Below are 23,107 nucleotides of genomic sequence, written 5' to 3'. Positions count from 1 at the left end.
TTTGCTATTGTAAATTGTGCTACAATGAACCTATGTGCACATATGTCTTTTTGGTAGAATTATTTATATTCCATTAGATATATAGCCAATAATGGGATTTCTGGGTCAAATGGTAATTCTGTTTTAAGTTCTTTGAGTAATTGTCACACTGCTTTCCACAATGGATGAACTAATTTACACTCCCACCAACAGTGTATGAGTGTTCCCTTTTCTCCACAACCTCACCAGCATCTGTTGTTTCTTGACTTTTTAATAATAGTGAATAACTATCATTTTGACTGGTGTGAGATGGTATCTCATTGTGGTTTTGACTTGCATTTCTTTAATGATTAGTAATTTTCAGCACTTTTCATTTGCTTATTGGCCACATGTATGTCTTCTTTTGAAAAGCATCTGTTCATATACTTTGCCCACTTTTTAATGGGGTTGTTTGATTTTTGCTTGTAAATTTGTTTAAGTTCCTTATGGATTCTGGATGTTAGACCTTTGTCAGAGGCATAGTTTGCAAATATTTTCTCCCATTCTGTAGGTTGTCTGCTTACCCTGTTGATAGTTTATTTTGCTGTGCAGAAGCTCTTTAGTTTAATTAGATCCCATTTGTCAATTTTTGTTTTCGTCGCAATTGCTTTTGGCAGATATATCACCATTTTAAATATATGATTCAGCCTAGTAGGTTCCTTTTTCACAAGAAAGAAAAAAAAAGGAAACGAAATGCAGAAAATAGAGACAGAAAGATAAAAAAGCAGGAAGAAAAAAAGAAATAAGGGAAAAAGAAAAGTATAAGAAGATTTTAAAAATCATAAGCAATGCTCTGTCGCCATTTGCTAAATCCTGCTGACCTACAGCTTCTAACCCCACAATCTTGGCTTTTATTGTCCATTGCCTTTGATCAGGATTTTCACAGTCACCAGACTCCTTAAGTAATCAACAGAGACCAACTGTATCATATTGTCTTTCATTCTTTATTTTTTTTTTAAACAAGGATTGCGCAGATTTCTAGCCACCCCCCTGAGGGGGTGAGAAAAAAGAAAAGATCAGCAGAACAAAGTCTTGCATTTATTAGAAGCATATAAATACAACTTTCTTTTTCCAGGGGGAAAAAACACTGGACCAAAACAAAATGCCCTCAATGTATGAATTTATAGAAACATTGAAGTTTCAGATGAGAAACCTGACCTCAGTGTTGAAAGAAGAGAGATGAGAAAGCGAAAAATGAAAGAAGCCTTTTCTTATTAAATAATTAGCTCGGGGATAACATGAAGTGTTTTCTAAATGAATGCATTTGTAGGAAGAAATAAAAACATTGGAATAACTTGATTAGCACATATGAATAACAATTGATAACGCCAGTGAACAATCAAAGTCTTGAAATTGAAGTCTTTAAAGGACAAATGTTTCTCACCCCCTAATGCTATCTCCAGCATCTAAATATGTTCAGCAAGAGCTGATGGGAGAGAATTGTTTTCTAAAATGATTATTATGGTATTGCTATTACTCAACACCATCAGCATGTCGAATCACATTTGGCTCCAGCCCAATGTAATGTGAAAGAAAGAGGACTTTTTTTCTTATAAATGTTTACAATTAAACTGGATAGGAATGGCAAATCTAGGAGACAGAGCCCCCTGTTTTCTTTAGAAACTTCTTCCCAGATGGCACTCCCTTGGACAGCATTGCATCTTTGGCTCTTTGTGGCTGCCCATAGAGGAGAACAATGGTGAGACCTGCCCCAGGGCACAATACTGGTTACCTCTGTGCCAAGACCCATTATTAAAAGTGTCTTTGTAAGGACAGAGTTGCCAGAAGACATCTTTCCATAGCACATGGTCACTTTTGTGATCTTTAGAATTATCCAAAGCAAATGGCCTGAAAATATCAAATAAGTTATTGCTTCTATCACAATTAATTACTCTTCCTTAAGGCTCTATTTGCTTGTGAGAGCTGTCATAACAAAGTACCATACAGGGGGTGGCTTGAAAGACAGAAATTTGTTAGAAGTTCGAGATCAAGGTGTCAGCAGGGTTTGTTTCTCCTGAGGTCTTTTTCTTTGGTTTGTAAAGGCCACTGTCTCCCTGTGTCTTTGCATGGTCTTCTCTCTCTACCTGTCTGTGTCCTAATCTCCTCTTCTTATAAGGACACCAGTTGTGTTAGATGAAGGCCCACCCTAATGACCTCATTTTAACTTAATTACCTATTTAAACAATCCTATCTCCAAATGCAGTCTCATTTAAAGCTACTAGGGGTTAGGACTTCAGCATGAATTTTGGGGAGATATAATTCATTTAGTCCATGACAAAGACCTCTGAGGCTGTTTTGAATTGAAATTGAACTATTTTGTTCTTAATTGAAATTTGTCTTAGTTTCAGAATGCTCTAGCTATATCTACGCAGTTGAAGAACATGGAATTAGAAACTTCTATCAGTTTTCCTTTGTTCTTGTGGGCCTGTTTGTTTTCCTTCCTTATGCTGTCAATTTCTCCAGTGCCTTTATGCTTTAGATGTGTCTCCTAGGAATAGCATATAGCTGGAGTTTTTAAAATCTCTAATCTGAAAATCTTGTCTTTTCAAGGTAGCGTCTATGCACTTTATTGTGATTACTGATAAATTTAGTCGCATGAGTCATATGTAGTCTATTAGTCCTTTCAGGCTGAATTATATTGTGGTAAAATACAAATTTAGAATCTCATTCTGTTTTCGCACATTCTTCACTTAAATCATAAGTTCATTAGGTACCTTATTTGCCTTTCAAGTTCGCAAAGGTAATCGTTTTACTCAATGGTTTACCACTGCATAGTGTAAACTGCCATCTTTCCAGGCTGCTGTAAGTTGCCTTGCTACCCACTTCACAGTCTGAAAGCCAATACCTATATTTTAAATATGAAGTTGTTTGTTTGTTTGCTTGCTTTGTTTGTTGTAGTTGTTGTTATGATAGAAGCATTGTATTTGTAAATGTTAATTTCTGTATCAGGCTAAGTTATGCTGCAATACTAAACAATTCCAAAATCTAAATGGCATTACATAACCCAAGTTCATTTCTCTTTTATATTACATGTTCCTTGCAGCTTTGCCACTTCATTCTTGGGCCCACGCTGAAGAACCAGTCTTTTTCTGAAACATTGCTAAGAATGTGGCAGAAGGAAGAGATATGGCAGAACTTCATCATGGCCCTGACAAACTCTGCTCTGAAAACCTTCATGATGGTGCTGAAAACTGACTCCCCCTGAGAGTTCCTTGGCTAAATGAGTCACTTGGCCAAGCCTGACATCCTCAGAGTGGGAAAACAATCTTCCCAAAATAAGGGCACCATAAATTACATAGCCAAACCTCATGTCAGTAGAATGGCAGGTAAAATCCTCCCACAAGAAGGAGCAGCATATATTTGGAAATAAAAAATGCAGTCCACTACATCTCAATCATTACAGCCTCAGAGGCTGAAAATTTGTCACAGGGTGATATGGTTTGTCTGTATCCCCACCCAAATCTCGTCCTGAGTTGTAGTTTCCATAATTTCTGTGTGTCATGGGAGGGACCTGGTGGGAGGTAATTGAATCAGGGGACAGGTCTTTCTCATGCTCTTCTAGTGATAGTGAATAAGTCTTATGAGATCTGATAGTTTTATAAAGGGGGGTTCTTCCACACACGCTCTCTCGCCTGCTGCCATGTAAGACGTGACTTTGCTCCTCATTTGCCTTCCGTCATGATTTTGAGGCCTCCCCAGCCATGTGGGACTGTGAGTTAATTAAAACTCTTCCTTTATAAATTACCCAGTCTCGGGTATGTCTTTATTAGCAGCATGAGAACAGATTAACAAATGTGTTTAGCTAAAAATTGAGGCTTCATCATTATATAAGAAAGAGGATAGATATAGGGGACATTAAGCAGTCTTCTTTAGTGGCTACTCTAGTATTTTAATTTACTTAACACCTTTATTGTCCTCTCAGACAATAAAAAACCTTATGACACTTTAACCCTTATCATCTTCCCCACAACTTAAATGCTTTCATATCAAATATTTCAGTTATATCTTTTATTTAGTCACGAAAGTTAGATATTAATTTATTGTTTTGTCCAGTCAAATTATTTTTAGATTTATCTAATATTAACTAATATCCAAAACTTTTTTTTCTGAAAGTGTATCTTTCAGAATTTTCTTGATTCTTTCCTAGAATTTCCATCTTTCTGCTGACATTATCTGTCTGTTCTTGCATGTTGTCTACTTTTTCGATTAAAGACCTTAACGTATTAACTGTAGTTTGTTTAAAAATTCCTGCTTTAATAATTTCGACATTCCTGCCATATCTCACTCTGATTCAAATGCTTCTTCAGTTCCTTCAAACTATGTGTCTTCCCTTTGAGTATGCCTTGTAATTTTTTGTTGAAAAGTGACCATAGTGTACTGGTTTCAAGGAACTGCTATAAGCAAGCTTTTAGTAATGTGGTTGTAAGGTATGGGAGGGAATGAAAGCCTTCTATCACCCTATGATTAGGTCTCAGTCTTTTGGTGAGCCTACGTCACTGGGCTGTGAATGTCACCAGTGCTTCTTTCTCAGTTTTAAAAATCTCCTTAGACGCATCAAGATGGATGGAGTGGGCTAGAGTCTGGTATTTCCTTTCTCACACACAGAAAGCTAGAGAGGACTAGAGTTTTGAGTATTTCCCTTTCCCTACATGGAAGTCTAAGCTGAAGTTGGATATTTCCTTTTCCCTAGGTAGGTTAGGCTCTGATAAAACCCTAGCAAATTAGATTCTGGTAAAATAGTTTCTCCTGACATCAGGCCTTGTTAAGAACAGAATGCCCTGGTGCATTTTTAAATGGTTCCATTTTTCTTCTCCTTGCCAAAAGCTCCTGCAGGTAAAACTCATAAAAGTGTGGAGTCCCCCTAGGATTAGGGCCCCCTGTGACTAGGTCCTCCTGGAGCTTTTAACTCTCAGACTTGTCCACACTGAACCTCTGGCAATTCATCAATTACAGTTCAGGTTTTCCTACACTGGCACTGGTTCCCACGAAGGTTTCTGCTGCTGAGTAAGTTGCTATTCTCTCGACCCATCTCTCTGTCTCTCCAATTTGGGGGACTGCAGTTTGCCCTATGACCTCACTTCTTTGTTGGATCTAAGAAGGGTGACTGATTTTCAGTTTGTTCAGCTTTTTGCTTGTTTTTAAGATGGAGTGGCAACTTCTAAGCTCTGTACATGTCAGACCCAAAACCAGATGTCCAACTAGAATTGTCTTCAGAGAGGATCTGTTGGTGGTACAACTCTCGATTTTTTGTTGGCTTGTCTTTACAAAAAGTATTTTTCCTTCATTATTGAAAGATATTTTTGCTTTCTTTGAAAGTCTAGGCTAATAGCATTTTTTCTCTCAGCACATTGAATATTTTATTCCTGTTGTTTGTATTTTATTGTTACTGTTGGGAAGTTAGCCATCTGTCTAATTGTCATTGCTTTGGAAGTCAATTTTTTTCTGGCTTCTTCTAGGATCTCCTCTTTGCCTTAGGCTTTCTACAGCTTTTCTAGAATATGTCTAGGTGTGAATTTCCTTTATCTTGGAACTTTTTGGGTTTCCTGGTTCTGAGGGTTGGAATCTTTGAACAAATTGTTCTGAAAAATTCTGTTATTTTCCCTTCAAATATGCTTCTTTCCATTTTAATTTTTAATCTGTTTTTGAAATTCTAGACCATATCATTCTGCCCTCTGTGTATTTTAACATATCCTGCATATCTGTGTCTATCTATGACATCCTGAGTAGTTTAATGGCATCTATTTTTCATTTCACTAATTCACTACTCACCTGTGCCAAATCTTCGGTTGAACATACCCAATGAGTATTTTATAGAGGTGAAATTAAATTCACACAAGATAAAATCGACCATTTTAAAGTGCATGATTCAGTTGCTTTTAGGACATACACATAACTGCAATGATCACTTCTGTCTTGTTCATTGAAAAAAGTTTCATCAAACCAAAAGAAAACCCTGTGCTCATTAGGCACGCACTCCCTATTACTCCTTTCCCCTAGCTCCTGACAACCACCAATCTGCTTTCTATCTCTATGGGTCTGCGTACTCTAGATATTCCATGTAAGTAGAATTATACAATATGTGACCCTTTGTATGTAGCTTCTTTTACTTAGCATAATGTTTTCAAGGTTCATCTATGTTGTAGCATGTATGAGAATTTCACTCTTTTTTATAGCCAAATAATACTCCACTGTATGGGTATACCACATTTTGTTATCCTTTCATCTGTTGATTGACATTTGGGTTGTTTCTAGCTTTTGGGTATTGTAAGTAGTGCTGGTATAAAAATTTATGTACGAGTATTTGTCTAAGGGCCTGCTTTCAAGTTCTTTGGAGTATAGGCCTAGAAATGTAATTGCTGGGTCATATAGCAAATCTATGTTTAACTTTTGAGTAACTGCCAGCTACAATTACTTTGAAAAATTCAATTATCATAACTTTAATTTCTGGGCATGTTCTTTGATTCTTTTTCAGAGCTACTTGCTCATTCTTATGGTCTTTTGTAACTGCTTATATTTGCAAACCTCTTTTTAATTTCCTGAAACTTACTATTAAATAATTGTATATAAAATAACAACTCTATGATCATTCCACTACCAATAGTTTTATGGATCTGATTTTGCTATTGTTTATGCTGATTACCACTCATTTTATTTAGTTCGTATATGTGCTGTAATTTTTTATTGAGAAATCATGTTCTTTGGATCATATTCACTCTATTTATTGGAGTTCTTACTGGCTGGGATTGCCTTTGCTTGTTGCCAGTTTCCTGGGCAACTTATCAACCTAGAATTATATTAAAATAATTATCTATCTGTCTAAAGTGTCTGTACCATACAGGTGGCGTGAATTTTGGATGTATATCATGTGATGAGAAGTTTACAGTAGTTTTCAAAAGAGAGTTATTTGGTTTACAGTAGTTTTCAGATGAGAGGTTTTTTTTTTCCTTGCCACCATCATTTGAAGTCAAGACAGGTAAAGTCCAAAAAAAGAGCAAGTTTTATGGTTTTACTCTTTTGTGTTCTGGGTTTATCTCTGTTGAGTGAATAGGCCCCAAGCCAAAAATTATTACCAGAGACAAACAATATAATTAAAAGCATCTTAGTTTACTTAATATCATAGCTTCCAAATACATAAAACAGATAATTGACAGAACTTTAAGGAAATAAACAAATCAAATCCCTCCTAACAACTTGAATTTTTAATCTGCCTCTGTTGGTAACTGATAGATCAAGCTAACTAAAATGTGATTAAAACCAAGGAAATCTAAATAGCATAGTCAACAAGCTTGACAGAGTGTATACATTGAACATTGCGTCCACCAATAGAAAAACAAACATTCTTTTTAAGCAGACATGGAATATTGATGGAAACTGACCATATGCTAGGCCTAAATTCATACTTATTGTGATAGCTTTGTAATGTGTCAGTTTGGCTAGGCTGAACTACCCATCTCAGACTTCCCTTTCTTCTGTGTTTCCAGTTAGCATGAGCCACGTGTCATGCTATTCTGGAAGGCAGGAAGAAAGCAAAAGCCATTTTGTAGCTCACACACTTCGTTGCTGATCTGCAAACTCACCTTGGAATAAAGCAGAGCTGGGCCTCAATTATTCCCCTTTTCTCCTGGATCTTCCTTCAGTGTCACTGACTCCTGGACCAGGTATGTTTGTTTAGCTCTGTGACAAGGGGCCAGCTTCAGCAGGATACCTGCATCTCCAAGATTAGAAACTATAAGAATGGATATGGTTTTAGTCTATTCTTATGGAGTGGCAGCTCATGCTTGTGGGTTCTGGCCTGATAGTGATGAATTTCCCTTCCTGAATTCCTGCCCTGCAGACTTTGTGCTTCAGCAGCAGATAGGAAGCAAACGCCTTACAGAGGCTTCTTAACCAGCTCCCATTTGGATTGTGGAAGACCAATTCTTTGTAAACTGGTTAAATTTACAATCATAAAATGTTATGAGGAATTGAGGGAATTAGCTGGATGGTTCAAGTTGCCTGATATTTAATTCTTTAATTATGTAGGTATTTCTGGACAAAATTGTGGACATTGGCTAATATAACTGGAAAATTACCCAAATTTGCATCTCTTCTTTGCATTTGTAGATATAGCCATTATCAGTGTCCCTTAAAAAAAACTGATGATATAATAAAAACAAGATATCTAGGCTTCTTTTAAAAATTCCACCTTAAGCAATTATTTGTTACCAGTCATTATATGTGTATGTCTTCTTGGTGTCTTTTTTTTTTTTTTTTTTTTTGAGACGGAGTCTTGCTCTGTCACCAGGCTGGAGTGCAGTAGCGTGATCTTGGCTCACTGCAACCTCTGCCTCCCCGGGCTCAAGCAATTCTCCTACCTCAGCCTCCCGAGTAGCTGGGACTACAGGCAAGTGCCACCACGCCCAGATAATTTTTGTACTTTTAGTAGAGACGGGTTTCACCATGTTGGCCAGAATTGTCTCGATCTCTTGACCTCGTGATCTGCCCGCCTCGGCCTCCCAAAGTGCTGGGATTACAGGCGTGAGCCACTGTGCCCAGCCTGGTGTCTTTTTTTTATATATACTTTAAGTTCTGGGATACACGTGCAGAACATGCAGTTTTGTTACATGGGTGTACACGTGGCATGGTGGTTTGCTGCACCCATCAACGAGTCATTTACATTAGATATTTCTCCTGATGCTATCCCTCCCCTAGCCCCCACCCCCAAACAGGCCCCAGTGTATGATGTTCCCCTACCTATGTCCATGTGTTCTCATTGTTCAACTCCCACCTATGAGTGAGAACATGCCATGTTTGGTTTTCTTTTCTTGTGTTAGTTTGCTGAGAATGATGGTTTCCAGCTTCATCCATGTCTCTGCAAAGGACATAAACTCATCCTTTTTTATGGCTGTATAGTATTCCATGGTATATATATGTGCCACATTTTCTTTATCCAGTCTATCACTGATGGGCATTTCAGTTGGTTCCAAGTCTTCATTATTGTGAATAGTGCTGCAATAAACATATGTGTGCATGTGTCTTTATAGCAGAATAATTTATAATCCTTTGGGATTGCCAAGTCAAATGGTATTTCTGGTTCTAGATCCTTGAGGAATTGCCACACTGTCTTCCACCATGGTTGAACTAATTTACACTCCTACCAACAGTGTAAAAGCATTCCTATTTCTCCACATCCTCTCCAGGATCTGTTTCCTGACTTTTTAATGATTGCCATTCTAACTGGTGTGAGATGGTATTTCATTGTGGTTTTGATTTGCATTTCTCTAATGACCGGTGATGATGAGCTATTTTTCATATGTTTGTTGTCCACATAAATGACTTCTTTTGAGAAGTGTCTGCTCATATCCTTTGCCCACTTTTTGATTGGGTTGTTTGTTTTTTTCTTGTAAATTTGTGTAAGTTCCTTGTAGATTCTGGATATTAACCCTTTGTCAGATGGATAGATTGGAAAAATTTTCTTCCATTATGTAGGTTACCTGTTCACTCTGATGTTAGTTTCTTTTGCTGTGCAGAAGCTCTTTAGTTTAATTAGATCCCATTTGTCAATTTTGGCTTTTGTTGCCATTGCTTTTGGTGTTTTAAACATGAAGTCTTTGCCCATGCCTATGTCCTGAATGGTACTGCTTAGGTTTTCTTCTAGGGTTTTTATGGTTTTAGGTCTTATGTTTAAGTCTTTAATCCATCTTGAGTTAATTTTTGTTTTAAGGTGTAAGGAAGGGGTCCAATTTCAGTTTTCTGCATATGGCTAGCCAGTTTTCCCAACATCATTTATTAAATGATGGGGAATCATTTCCCCATTGCTTGTTTTTGTCATGTTTGTCAAGGATCTGATGGTTGTAGATGCGTGGCATTATTTCTGAGGCCTCTCTTCTGTTCCATTGGTTATATATCTGTTTTGGTACCAGTGCCATGCTGTTTTGGCTACTGTAGCCTTGTAGTATAGTTTGAAGTCAGGTAGCATGACACCTCCAGCTTTGTTCTTTTTGCTTAGGATTGTCTTGGCTATGTGGGCTCTTTTTTGGTTCCATATGAACTTTAAAGTAGTTTTTTCTAATTCTGTGAAGAAAGTCAATGGTAGTTCGATGGGAATAGCATTGAATCTATAAATTACTTTGGGCAGTATGGCCATTTTCACAACGTTGATTCTTGCTATCCATGAGCATGGAATGTTTTTCCATTTGTTTGTGTCCTCTCTTATTTCCTTGAGCAGTGGTTTGTAGTTCTCCTTGAAGAGGTCCCTCACATCCCTTGTGAGTTGTATTCCTAGGTATTTCATTCTCTTTGAAGCAATTGTAAATGGGAGTTTACTCATGATTTGGCTCTCTGTTTATCTATTATTGGTGTATAAGAATGCTTGTGATTTTTGCACATTGATTTCATATCCTGAGACTTTGCTGAAGTTGCTTATCAGCTTAAGGAGATTTTGGGCTGAGACAATGGGGTTTTCTAAATATACAAACATGTCATCTGCAAACAGAGATAATTTGACTTCCTTTCTTCCTACTTGAATATGATTTCTTTCTTTCTCTTGTCTGATTGCCTTGGCCGAAACTTCCAATATTATGTTGAATAGGTGTGGTGAGAGAGGGCATCCTTGTCTTGTGCCAGTTTTCAAAGGAAATGCTTCCAGTTTTTGCCCATTCAGTATGATATTGGCTGTGGGTTCGTCATAAATAGCTCTTATTATTTTGAGATATGTTCCATCTATACCTAGTTTATTGAGAGGTTTTAGCATGAAGCGGTGTTGAATTTTATCCAAGGACTTTTCTCCATCTATTGAGATAATCATGTGGTTTTTGTCTTTGGTTCTGTTTATGTGATGAATAACGTTTATTGGTATGTGTTTGTTGACCCAGCCTTGCATCCCAGGGATGAAGCCGACTTGATCTTGGTGGATAAGCTTTTTGATGTGCTGCTGGATTTGGTTTGCCAGTATTTTATTGAGGATTTTTGCATCAACGCTCATCAGGGATATTGGCCTGAAATCTACTTTTTCTGTTGTGTCCCTGCCAGGTTTTGGTATCAGGATGATGCTGGCCTCATAAAATGAGTTAGGTAGCAGTCTCTCTTTATCTATTGTTTGGAATATTTTCAGAAGGAATCGTACCAGCTGCTCTTTGTAGTTCTGGTAGAATTCGGCTGTGAATCCGTCTCATCCCGGGCTTTTTTTTTCATTGGTAGGCTATTAATTACTGCCTCAATTTCAGAGCTTGTTATGGGATTCAACATTTTCCTGGTTTAGTCTTGGGAAGGTGTATGTGTCCAGGAATTTATCCATTTTTTCTAGATTTCCTAGTTTATTTGCGAAGAGGTGTTTATAGTACTATCTGATGGTAGTTTGTATTTCTGTGGGATCAGTGGTGATATCCCCTTTATCATTTTTTATTGTGTCTATTTGATTCTTCTCTCTTTTCTTCTTTATTAGAATGGATAGTGGTCTATCAATTTTGTTGATCTTTTCAAAAACCCAGCTCCTAGATTCATTGATTTTTTGAAGGGCTTTTTGTGTCTCCATCTCCTTCAGTTCTGCTCTGATCTTAGTTATTTCTTGTCTTCAGCTAGCTTTTGAATTTGTTTGCTCTTGCTTCTCTAGTTCTTTTAATTGTAATGTTAGGGTGTGTCAATTTTAGATCTTTCCCACTTTCTCCTATGAACATTTAGCACTAGAAATTTCCCTTTAAACGCTGTGTCCCAGAGATTCTGGTATGTTGTGTCTTTGTTCTCATTGGTTTCAAAGAACTTATTTATTTCTGCCTTAATTTCGTTATTTACCCAGCAGTCATTCAGGAGCAGGTTGTTCAGTTTCCATGTAGTTGTGTGGTTTTGAGAGAGTTTCTTAATCCTGAGTTCTAATTTGATTGTACTGTGGTCTGAGAGGCTGTTATGATTTCTGTTCTTTTGAATTTGCTGAGGGGTGTTTTACTTCCAATTATGTGGTCAATTTTAGAATAAGTGTGATGTGGTGCTGAGAAGAACGTATATTCTGTTGATTTGGGGTGGAGAGTTCTGTAGATGTCTATTAGGTCCACTTGGTCCAGAGCTGAGTTCAAGTCCTGAATATCCTTGTTAATTTTCTGTCTCATTGATCTGTCTAATATTGACAGTGGGGTGTTAAAGTCTCCCATTATTATTGTGTGGGAATCTAAGTCTCTTTGTAGGTCTGTAAGAACTTACTTTATGAATCTGGATGTGCCTATATTGGGTGCATATATATTTAGGATAGTTAGCTCTTCTTGTTGCATTGATCCCTTTACCATTATGTAATGGCCTTCTTTGTCTTTTTTATCTTTGTTGGTTTAAAGTCTGTTTTATCAGAGACTAGGATTGCAACCCCTGCTTTTTTTGCTTTCCATTTGCTTGGTAAATATTCCTCCATCCACTCATTTTGAGCCTATATGTGTCTTTGCATGTGAGATGGGTCTCCTGAATACAGCACACTGATGGATCTTGACTCTTTATCCAATTGCCAGTCTGTGCCTTTTAATTGTGCCATTTAACCTGTTTACCTTTAAGGTTAATATTGTTATGTGTGAATTTGATCCTGTCATTATGATGCTAGCCAACTATGATGCTTTGCCCATTACTTGATGCAATTTCTTCATCATGTCAATGATCTTTACAATTTTGTATATTTTTGCAGTGGCTGGTACTGGTGTTTCCTTTCCATATTTGGTGCTTCCTTCAGGAGCTCTTGTAAGGCAGGCCTGGTGGTGATGAAATCTCTCAGCATTTGCTTGTCTGTAAAGGATTTTATTTCTCCTTCACTTATAAAGCTTAGTTTGGCTCGATATGAAATACTGGGTTGAAAATTCTTTTCTTTAACAATGTTGGATATTGGCCCCCACTTGCTTATGAAGCTTAGTTTGGCTGAATATGAAACACTGGGTTGAAAATTCTTTTCTTTAAGAATGTTGAATATTGGTCTTCACTCTCTTCTGGGTTATAGAGGTTCTGCAGAGAGTTCTGCTGTTAGTCTAATGAGCTCCCTTTGTGGGTAACCTGACCTTTCTCTCTGGCTGCCCTTAACTTTTTTTCCTTTGTTTCAACCTTGGAGAATCTGACAATTATGTGTCTTGGGGTTGCTCTTCTCGAGGAGTATCTTTGTGATGTTCTCTGTATTTCCTGAATTTGAATGCTGGCCTGTCTTACTAGGTTGGGGAATTTCTCCTGGGTAATGTCCTGAAGAGTGTTTTCCAACTTGGTTCGATTCTCCCCATCACTTTCAGGTACACCAATCAAATGTATGTTTGGTCTTTTCACATAGTACCATATTTCTTGAGGCTTTGTTCATTCCTTTTCATTCTTTTTTCTCCAATCTTGTCTTCAAGCTTTATTTCATTAAGTTGATCTTCAACCTCTGATATCCTTTCTTCTGCTTGATCAATTTGGCTATTGATACTTGTGTATGCTTCATGAAAATGTCTTGCTGTGTTTTTCAGCTCCATCAGGTGATTTGTGTTCTTCTCTAAACTGGTTATTCTAGTTAGCAATTCCTCTAACCTTTTTTCAAGGTTCTTAGCTTCCTTGCATTGGGTTAGAACATGCTCCTTTAACTTGGAGGAGTTTGTTATTACCCACCTTCTGAAGCCTACTTCTGTCAATTCATCAAACTCATTCTCTGTCCAGTTTTGTTCCCTTGCTGGCAAGCAGTTGTGATCCTTTTGAGGAGAAAAGGCATTCTGGTTTTTGGAATTCTCTGCCTTTTTGCACTGGTTTTTCCTCATCTTCTTGGATTTATCTACCTTTGGTCTTTGATGTTGGTGACCTTTGGATGGGGTTTTTGTGTGGACGTCCTTTTTGTAGATGTTGATGCTATTCCTTTCTGTTTGTTAGTTTTCCTTCTAACAGTCAGGCCTCTCTGCTGCAGGTCTCCTGAAGTTTGCTGGAGGTCCACTCCAGACCGTGTTTGCCTGGGTATCTCCAGCGGAGGCTTCAGAACAGCAAAGATTGCTGCCTGTTCCTTCCTCTGGAAGCTTCATCCCAGAGGGGCACCCACCAGATGCCAGCCAGAGCTCTCCTGCATGAGGTGTCTGTTGATCCCTGCTGGGAGTTGTCTCTCAGTCAAGAAGCACAGAGGTCAGGGACTTACTTGAGGAGGCAGTGTGTCCCTTAGCAGATCTCAAACGCTGTGCTGGGAGATCCACTGCTCTCTTCAGAGCTGGCAAGTAGGAACGTTTAAGTCTGCTGAAGCTGTGCCCACAGCTCTCCCTTCCTCTTGGTGCTCTATCCAAGGGAGATGGTAGTTTTATCTATAAGTCCCTGACTGGGGCTTCTGCCTTTCTTTCACAGATGCCTTGCCCAGAGAGGAAGAATCTAGAGAGGGAATCTGGCTATAGTGGCTTTCCCAAGCTGCAGTGGGCTCTGCCCAGTTCAAACTTCCTGGCGTCTTTGTTTACACTGTGAGGGGAAAACCGCCTACTCAAGCTTTGGTAATTGTGGACGCCCCTCCCCCAACCAAGTTAGAGCATCCCAGGTCAACTTAGACTGCTGTACTGGCAGTGAGAATTTCAAGCCAGTGGATCTTAGCTTGCTGAGCTCTATGGAGGTGGGATCTGCTGAGCTAGACCACTTGGCCCCCTGGCTTCAGTACCCCCTTTCCAGGGGAGTGAACAGTTCTGTCTCACTGGCATTCCACGTGCCACTGGGGTATGAAAGAAAAAACTCCTGCAGCTAGCTCGGTGTCTGCCCAAATGGCTTCACAGTTTTGTGCTTGAAACCCAGGGCCCTGGTGGTGTAGGCACCCAAGGGAATCTCCTGGTCTGCAGGTTTTGAAGACCATGGGAAAAGCATAGTATCTGGGCTGGAATGCACTGTTCCTCACAGTACAGTCCCTCATGGCTTCCCTTGGCTAGGGGAGGGAGTTCCCCAAGCCCTTGCACTTCCAGGTTGAGGCAACTCCCCACCCTGCTTCTGCTCACCTTCCATGGGCTTCACTCACTGTCTAGCCAGTTCCAATGAGATGAGCTTGGTATCTCAGTTAGAAATGCAGAAATCACCTGCCTTCTGTGTTGATCTCACTGGGAGCTGCAGACTGGAGCTGTTCATATTTGGCCATCCTGCCAGCCACTCTTAGTGTCTTTTTAAAGAAAGGTCTTGCTGTTGGCTTGTATTAAAGCTCATAGAATGTTGATCTTAGTGAGAAATCGAGTGCTGTTGATCTAAGAACTAACATTTGTGAAGCATTTAATGTCAACTCTATATGAAAAACTTCAAATGCATTATCTCATTAATCTTCATGAGAACCCTATGAAATTGAGTATTTTACAGATGAAGAAATTAAGGTGTAGATAGATTAAGCCATTTCTCAATACACACAATTTTTACATGGTAGGACTTGGAATAGAGCCCAATTCTTTTGTCTCCAGAGCCTGTGCTCTTATTCAGCACTGTTCGTTATTTTGGGCATAATATAAAGTGGTAAGTGGGTCTTGTGGGTAATACTCTTTAGGCTTCAAACCCTCAGAGAATCTCAGTACATCATTTCTTACATTAGGGTCCAGTTTTTTGTTTTATCAAGATCTTTGCTGCAAAGTCATAACTGTGGGGACTTGATGGCCAAACTGAGAATATGTAAAAGTGTGGACCAGATACCATGCACTTACGTCAGTGGTTCTCAAAGCATGACACAAGAACTCCTCATAGTTCTGCAGATCCTTCCCAGCTGTTCATGGAGCTACATATCTTTTTTCCAGCTACATATTTATGTACAGCCAAATTTTCTTTATGTGCTTGAAACAAAAAAACATACAGCAACTGATTGAATGCATAAGCAGATCTGAGAATCTGGAAGTCTTGAGCTGGACATTAAAAAGATTTCCAAAAAAAGTCACACAATGCCATTCTTCTCATTAATTTTTTTGTTTTTAAAATATAGACATTTTCTCATACAATGTTATTTATAGCAACATGTAATGGGTTTATTATTGTTATTAATAAATTAATACATATAATTTTTCTAATTTTTAATTTCTTATATGGTAAATATAAAGGGATTTATTTCTCATAAACAACAGCTCTTTGGGGTCCTAAGTAATTTTTAAGACTGTAAAAGGATCTTGAGACCAAAATATTTGAAATCCACTGTCCTATGCAACTTAAACACCATTGCTGGGCACTAACTTTCTACCAATGTGGCTTCTAGCTCTAGCCTTATCAAACTTGAGCAAGATATAGAAATGAAGTCTATAAATTCACCTCTGTATTTGAAATTATCAGATTCTTTCCTTATTTCTCATAATAATCCCATGAGGCAAGTATTATTTTTTGCAATAAAGACACTACTAAGCCAAACCAAAAATCAATAAAATGAAGTAAGAAAATTAAGAGTCATGCTCCACATCACATGTCATCAGGAAATTACAGACTAAAACAATGAGATACCACTACACACCCATTAGAATTACCAAAAATCCAAAACACTGACAATACCAAATGCTTTCAAAGATAGGGAGCAACAGAATCTCTCATTAATTGCCGATGAGAATGCAAAAGAGTGCAGCCACTTTGGAAGACAGTTGATGGGAGTTTCTTACAAAACTAAACATTTTTTATCATGCAATCCACTAATTGAGCTTCTTGGTGTTTACCCAAATTAATCTGAAACTTATCTCTACACAAAAACTTGCACGCAGATGGCTATTGCAGCTTTATTTATATTTTCCAAAAATTGAAAGCAACCAAGATGTCCTTCAGTGGGTATATGGATAAAAAACTGTGGTGTATCCATACAATGGAATATTATTCAGCACTAAAAAGAAATGAGCTATTGAGCCCTGAAAAGACATGGGAGAATCCCAAATGCATGTTATTAAATAAAATACATCAATCTTAAAAGGTTACATACTGGGCTGGGCGCAGTGGCTCACGCCTGTAATCCCAGCACTTTGGGAGGCCGAGGCAGGCAGATCACGAGGTCAGGAGATCGAACCATCCTGGCTAACACAGTGAAACCCCATCTCTACTAAAAATACAAAAAATTAGCCGGGTGTGGTGGCGGGCGCCTGTAGTCCCAGCTACTCAGGAGGCTGAGGCAGGATAATGGCGTGAACCCGGGAGGCAGAGCTTGCAGTGAGCTGAGATCGCACCACTGCACTCCAGCCTGGGTGACAGAGCGAGACTCCACCTCAAAAAAAAAAAAAAAAAGATTGTGTACTATACCATCCTAACTATAGAACATTCTGGAAAAGGCAAAACTAGGAAGACATTTTAAAAATCTGATTGCCAGGAGTTAGAGGGGAAGAAGAAATGAATAGGTGGAACACCGCGGATTTTTAGTGCACCGAAACTATATTCTGTATGATACTATAATGGTAGACACATGCCATCCATAGACTGTGCAACAACAAAGGTGAACCCTGATATAAACGATGGAACTATGGGCTTTGGGTGATAATGGTGTGCCAATGTAGTTCATCGATTGTAACAAAGGTGCCACTCTGATACAGGGATATTATCAGTGGTACAGGCTCTGTACTGGGGGCATATGAGAACTCTCTGTATTTTCTGCTCAATTTTGCTGTGAACCTAAAACTGCTCTAAAAAATAAAGCCTATTTTTTAAAATTAAAGGAGTAAATTTCCTCAGAAGGCAGCTATGTGAGGGAACAGAAGTTACTGTGGAGGACACTAAAGAGGGAGAGTCTTCTGCACCAACTCTCCTGGATACTTCTAGGAATTGGAGATTGATGTCCCAGGTGAATGGCCAAAAGAATAACATGCATTAGTGAATAAAGGTGGGAGGGAATTATCCTCAGATTGTAGACAAAGAAGTAAGACCTGGAGAGGTGAAGAAATGTGTCCATGATCATGCTTAGCAAGAAGCAGCCCAGAAGCTTGTACCCCCAATCTGCTTCACCCTGCATCCCACACTCAGCCAGTGCTCTGCAGCCCACCCAGAGGAAATCCATGGGAAAGCAGAAAGGCGCACCTAACAAAACCTTGTCCAAGAGTTTCCAGAAAACTAATGTAATTGATGAACTATTGGCAAATAGTCAAGAAAGATGAATGCAATTGAAAAAGAGAAATTATCTGTGAAAACCATGACAGTTGATACTATTTTGGGTTCATGTGATTGACATTTTGAAAATTCAAAATATAAAAAGAATATATCCTACACAAATTATCATATGAGCATAATAATATAGGAACAAGGATATCAATTTTCTAATTTTCCTCCCCCCGAACAGGTAGAAAATTCCCATCAATAAGGGGATGGCTAAATAATGGTGTGTGTGTGTGTGTGTGTGTGCACATATTTTGGAATTATAAGCAGCTATATAAACAGACGAAAAAGCTCTCTATATGCTTATGTAAGTGTTCCTCCATGAAATGAAATATAGTTGAGTGAAGAAAGTAACATGTAACATAAACCTCATGGAAGGAGGTCCATTAAATAATTTACAGGTCTGATATTCAGATTGTTTTCAAATAAAATCAAGGGGCTACTGCTACATGACACTTACCTAGAAGGCTTAATAATGTAAGCACTATGTAGCATTTATGTTTGATCTAGATAGCATACTCACATAGGCAAGCCTGTCTGAAAAAATCTCTAACAGGTTAGCGCAGTCTACAAAGTCAGCTCTTCCTCTGGGCTCTTTTTTAAACAAAACTATATAAATATGTTTTTAAAACAAAACTATATAAATTTGTGTTTGTCAGCTTATCTTCTTTCCCCCTCAGCCAGAATATTAGGTCTCTAACATCTAGAACAGTCTCTGCCACACAGTAGATGCTCAACAAACATTTGTTACTTGACTGAATATATATTTCAGTTCAAAACAGTAGAAAATTAATATGAAAGATTAATCAATGGAGAGAAGAAAGTAATATTTTAAGGGTACCTAATCTATTTCAAGCACTTAATTAGATACTTTATACTCGTTATTCTTTTTAATATTCACAAAATTCCTAAAAATAAAAAGAGAAAATTAAGGCTTAGAAAGATTAAATAATTTACCAAAGATTACACATTTAGTCCAGGATTCAAAAGTAGGCCTTCTTGATTTCACAGCGCTTGAGCACATGGTCAAGTGGAATCAGTCATAGAATTCCAGAATCTTCTTGGTGATGTCTTGCATGGTAGCTTGATATCTTGTTTATATTATATTCCCAATAAAAAATAAAATGGAAGTGCAAATCTTGGTGTTCATAGCTCCCTAGAGCAAATAGGTCTAAGAAATATAGCTGTAGATGTAAGAGATCTTGTGGATGCTGTAAATTCATAGAGTGAAAGAAGTTTTTATCGATATCTAAGCTTGTATTATGCAGCATAATTGGTGTTTCCACATTAATCCTCCAAAGCACTCTGAAGGGCAGATCTTATGCTCCCCATTTTGAGACATGAGGAAACTGAGGGTCTGAAAGGTTAAGCAACTTCTCCAAAGTCACATAGATGATGAATGTTCAAGCTTTGAGTTTCCCTAGGTTTGTCTGCCTCCAGAATTCCTGCTCTTCCCAGATTCTTCATGACCTTCTTTATTTAGTGATCAAGACATGGCCTTTCCAGGACATGGCCCTCTTAAATACCAGGCCTCATTCCCTCAAAGGCTCAGATCCAGCCAACCCACCACTGAAAGCCAGGAGAAGCAGGGAGAGGGCTGGGCTGGCCTCCCTGAGCTTTGGCTGAGTACTTTCTGGTAATAACCCTTAAAGACAAAATGTATCAGAAACGAGACCCTACTGCAGATTAAGCCTCACGTTCTCTGTCCTCGTACAATAGAATTTGTCATTAAGTAGCTGTCAGTTTCTTCCAGATCACTGTATTATGTATGGGTTGCAGGTCTACCAATTAGTTTGAGCAAGTGCTAAAAATAAATAAATGATGAGGAGCCTTCTATTTTCATCCAGGATAATTAGGGCCTGCATTTGGGGTGATGAGGTGGAGTGGGGGTGGGGGAAGTCCAAGGAAACATTAAAGACAACGTGCAGCTTTTGAACATCATTCGACAAAGCCAACGGTCCACTCTGCAGTTTCTGTTTACAAATCGACCAACTGCCCCTACTGGGCCCTCTTCCTTGGGTCTAGGGCTGAAGACTGGAGAGAGGCAATTATGGGGTGCTCATGATTTTATTCTTTCTTAAGATCCTCTTATATAACCGATTTGTTGTGCAATCGAGCAGTTGGCAGTTCAAGGAAGCTGGCTCGTACCTTAGATAAGAAGTTGAATTATTCCAGAGGACATTTGGAGGCAGGCAGGCTGGGACACGCCGAGAAGTGATCTGGGCCTCCTACACAGGACATGGTATTTTAGCTGTGAAGTTCCCTATATGTAAGCCACATGAGTCCCCCATTTCCTGAGCATCTGTATTTGGTGAGCACTGGAAACCTCTTGCTTTCCCACTGAAGGCCCCTTGTTTCCTCTTGCTAGAGTCAAAAACATGACCCAGTTACAACAGAGGCACAGAAGAGCAGCTTGGTAGGAAGAGGAGAAGAGGGGAGGGAGGGGAGGGACGAGGCAGTCTCCATATTTGAAAATAAAAATGATCCCAGAGAATCATAAGCATGTTAATGTACAAGTTCAAGGTTACATACATGCCGAGACATGCACACTCACACACACAGTAACAAACACAACCAGGGCAATAGCCGGTGGTGGCAGACTCAAGTAAGAAGAGGAAAGGGGAGAAAAGAGAATCAAACACATCATGTGGAGAAGCTAAATGATCTGTAAATTGTCAGAGATGGCTTTCTTTTCATGAGAAAATTGGAGCAAATCCTAGAAATCTACATTAGAATGTTTATTTCCTGGCAGATTTGCTGCTCAGTCATAATAGGATGTCAGCGGCCTTCAGTGCCTACATCTTCCCGCATCCCATGAACTCACGTGGGAAATACCTGGAGCCCAGATCTTCCTGAGAGAGCTGCGGAAAAACCTGACACCTGCTCAGGGCTTTTTCATAATCAAAGGTAATGACAGAGAAAATGAATATGCCACTTTCTCCCACTGTCAGCTTATTTTTATTGTGCTCCATTTTCAAATCCTGGGGGTGCATGTGGCAGGTAAATGTCTTTTGTGTGTGTATGTTTTGATAAAAGAAAGATAAGGCCACGCAGTAAGATCCTATACCCAAGGGATTCTAGTGACATGATGGACACTTTAATCTCCATATTTCTGGTCCCTACCGACCGTGAGTAATAAAGGTGTTAGAATATCCTGATTTAAAGCTTCTCTCCATTCATAACTGGGTGTGCCTATTCATAGAACCCTGGTCTATTTGGGGAGCAAATAAAAACTTGCCATGACCAAGACAAGGCGGTGAGAGTCATGGACAGGAAGCTGCCTCCTGCCTCCAGCTTTGATGAGGAGAGAAGCATCATCAGACCCTCCAGCTGAGAGGGACTCTACTTCTTCTGTGCTGCCCTTGGTTGAAGACGTGGTGCACCCCCGCCTCAGTCACTAGCCGCAGGCCTTCTGGAAACAAAAAGGATGGAGGTTGATGATTAGGACAAAGAGAGATGACAGAAACAGAAGGCTGCAGTGTGGAGGTGAGAGAAGTAGAGAATGGAGGGAAGTAGCAGAGTAGGGCTGGAGGTGATGTAAAGGAAGTGAAAAACTGCCCTGGTGCATAGGAATGAAGCCACATCAAGCTGCAATAAATCTACAAATCACCCTCCCCAGAGGGAGATCCTAAGAAGTATGCTGTCTCCCGGGGATGTGCCATGCAATCCCTGCTTACCACTAGGACTTTGGGTTTGCTGGTGGCCAGGGAGGGTGTACAAGCTCAGGAGGGAACCTAAGTGTTGCAAACAAGGGTCTTCATATGGGGATTTTCCCAAGTCTTTTTTCAGGGGAGAAAGCTGAAAAGAAGGAAAGCAACCAGGAAGAGACAAGAGGAGAAAGACTGAGATGTTAAAGGAGATGTTTAGGAAGTTCTTTTCCCAGGGAAATCTGCACTGCTCCCCAGTGCTTTGGAGTTGAATGAGCATGTGAGGGGTTGGGAAGAGAGGCTGAATTAGGACTCAGTATGAGGCCTGGTGCAGGGTAGAAACCTTCCACAGCAGGCTCACTGTTTACATCCAGGTTTTTCTCTGAAGATGGTTAGATAAGTTTTCAGTGCAAAATCATAATTCTTATAGCATTTCCCCTTGGTATCTTAACTTCTACAAATACTTAATTTGTCCTGAGACCTGATTTTCGTGTACTTATCAGATAATCTGTCAATAAATTACTGTTTTAAAGAGCCCACTACACACCTAGAACTGAACAAGGCAATTCGAAGGCTATAAAACAAGCAGATAAGATAGTCAATGGCCTCAAGGTGGTTCTAGTCTCCTTGTCTCCAAGGAGGCAGGTAATCTAGGAGACGAAATGTGGCAGTGAAAATATGTATCATAATTATTCTAAGCACAACAGGAGTTCAGAGAATGGAAACAGCCAGAATCATATCCACCATTTACTGGTAATGGCAAGGTCATATGCATCATCATTCTCAACGTTTTATAAACATATTAATACTTTTAATCTTCCCAACAACCTAGTGATATTGTTGTACCCATTTTACAGATAAGAAAGTGAGGCTTAAAGAGGATAGGTAAGTTTTCCATGGTCTCCACACAAAAAGGATCTGAGGTAGGGTTTAAAACTTAAGCTTGTCTGATTTAAACTATGGCGTTTTAACCACAGACATTGCATCTACATTCCACGGTGGGGGGCAGAGAAGGAAAGGAGAAAGACAAAGGCACGCACCAGCTGGGTTTTCCCTTTTATCGGGAAAACCATAGCTCTCCCAGAATTCTTGTGTAGTAGAGTTGCTCATCGGCAGAACTAAGTCATCCACCCCTAGATGCAGGGATAACAGGAAAGATATTTTTACTTGGGTGTGTTGCTATTGACTCCCTCCCCCACGTTACTGGAGCTATTGTAATAAAAAAGGAGGGGAGACTAGATACTTAATAGGCAACCAGAGGCATCTGCCTCACTGAGCATCTTTCATACATCATGGCATGATGCTGTTGCAGGGTGCTATGTAGTCTGGACAAGGATATTCAAAGTAGAAATTAGAAGAAAACAAAAAGATCCAAAGAATACTTTAAAGATAAAAATAACTTACTTGAAGATAGATTGAATTGAGGTCCTAAAAAAGAGGGATGA

At 39.2% G+C, this 23,107-nt stretch overlaps 1 long non-coding RNA gene across 2 annotated transcripts in view, besides 1 other annotated feature; it reads right to left on the bottom strand.

Moving 5' to 3' along the window:
* Window positions 20,425-20,991: an enhancer, noted in NCBI's record as "OCT4-NANOG hESC enhancer chr4:55684653-55685219 (GRCh37/hg19 assembly coordinates)". NCBI's record gives its function as "activates a minimal SCP1, AML or CMV promoter by ChIP-STARR-seq in naive H9 embryonic stem cells {active_cell/tissue: H9 hESC(naive)}" and the evidence as "EXISTENCE:reporter gene assay evidence [ECO:0000049][PMID:30033119]".
* The window catches only part of LOC105377657 (uncharacterized), a 62,560-nt gene continuing 60,246 nt past the window's right edge, over window positions 20,794-23,107 (bottom strand). For both annotated transcript variants that reach the window (XR_941055.3, XR_941057.3), the window contains exon 3: window positions 20,794-21,427. This is a non-coding gene — a long non-coding RNA (uncharacterized LOC105377657). The remainder of the gene's footprint in view (window positions 21,428-23,107) is intronic.

The sequence above is a fragment of the Homo sapiens genome, chromosome 4 (assembly GCF_000001405.40).
Source record: "Homo sapiens chromosome 4, GRCh38.p14 Primary Assembly".
Taxonomy (NCBI): Eukaryota; Metazoa; Chordata; class Mammalia; order Primates; family Hominidae; genus Homo; species Homo sapiens.
This window is presented reverse-complemented; position numbering and strand designations above follow the sequence as displayed.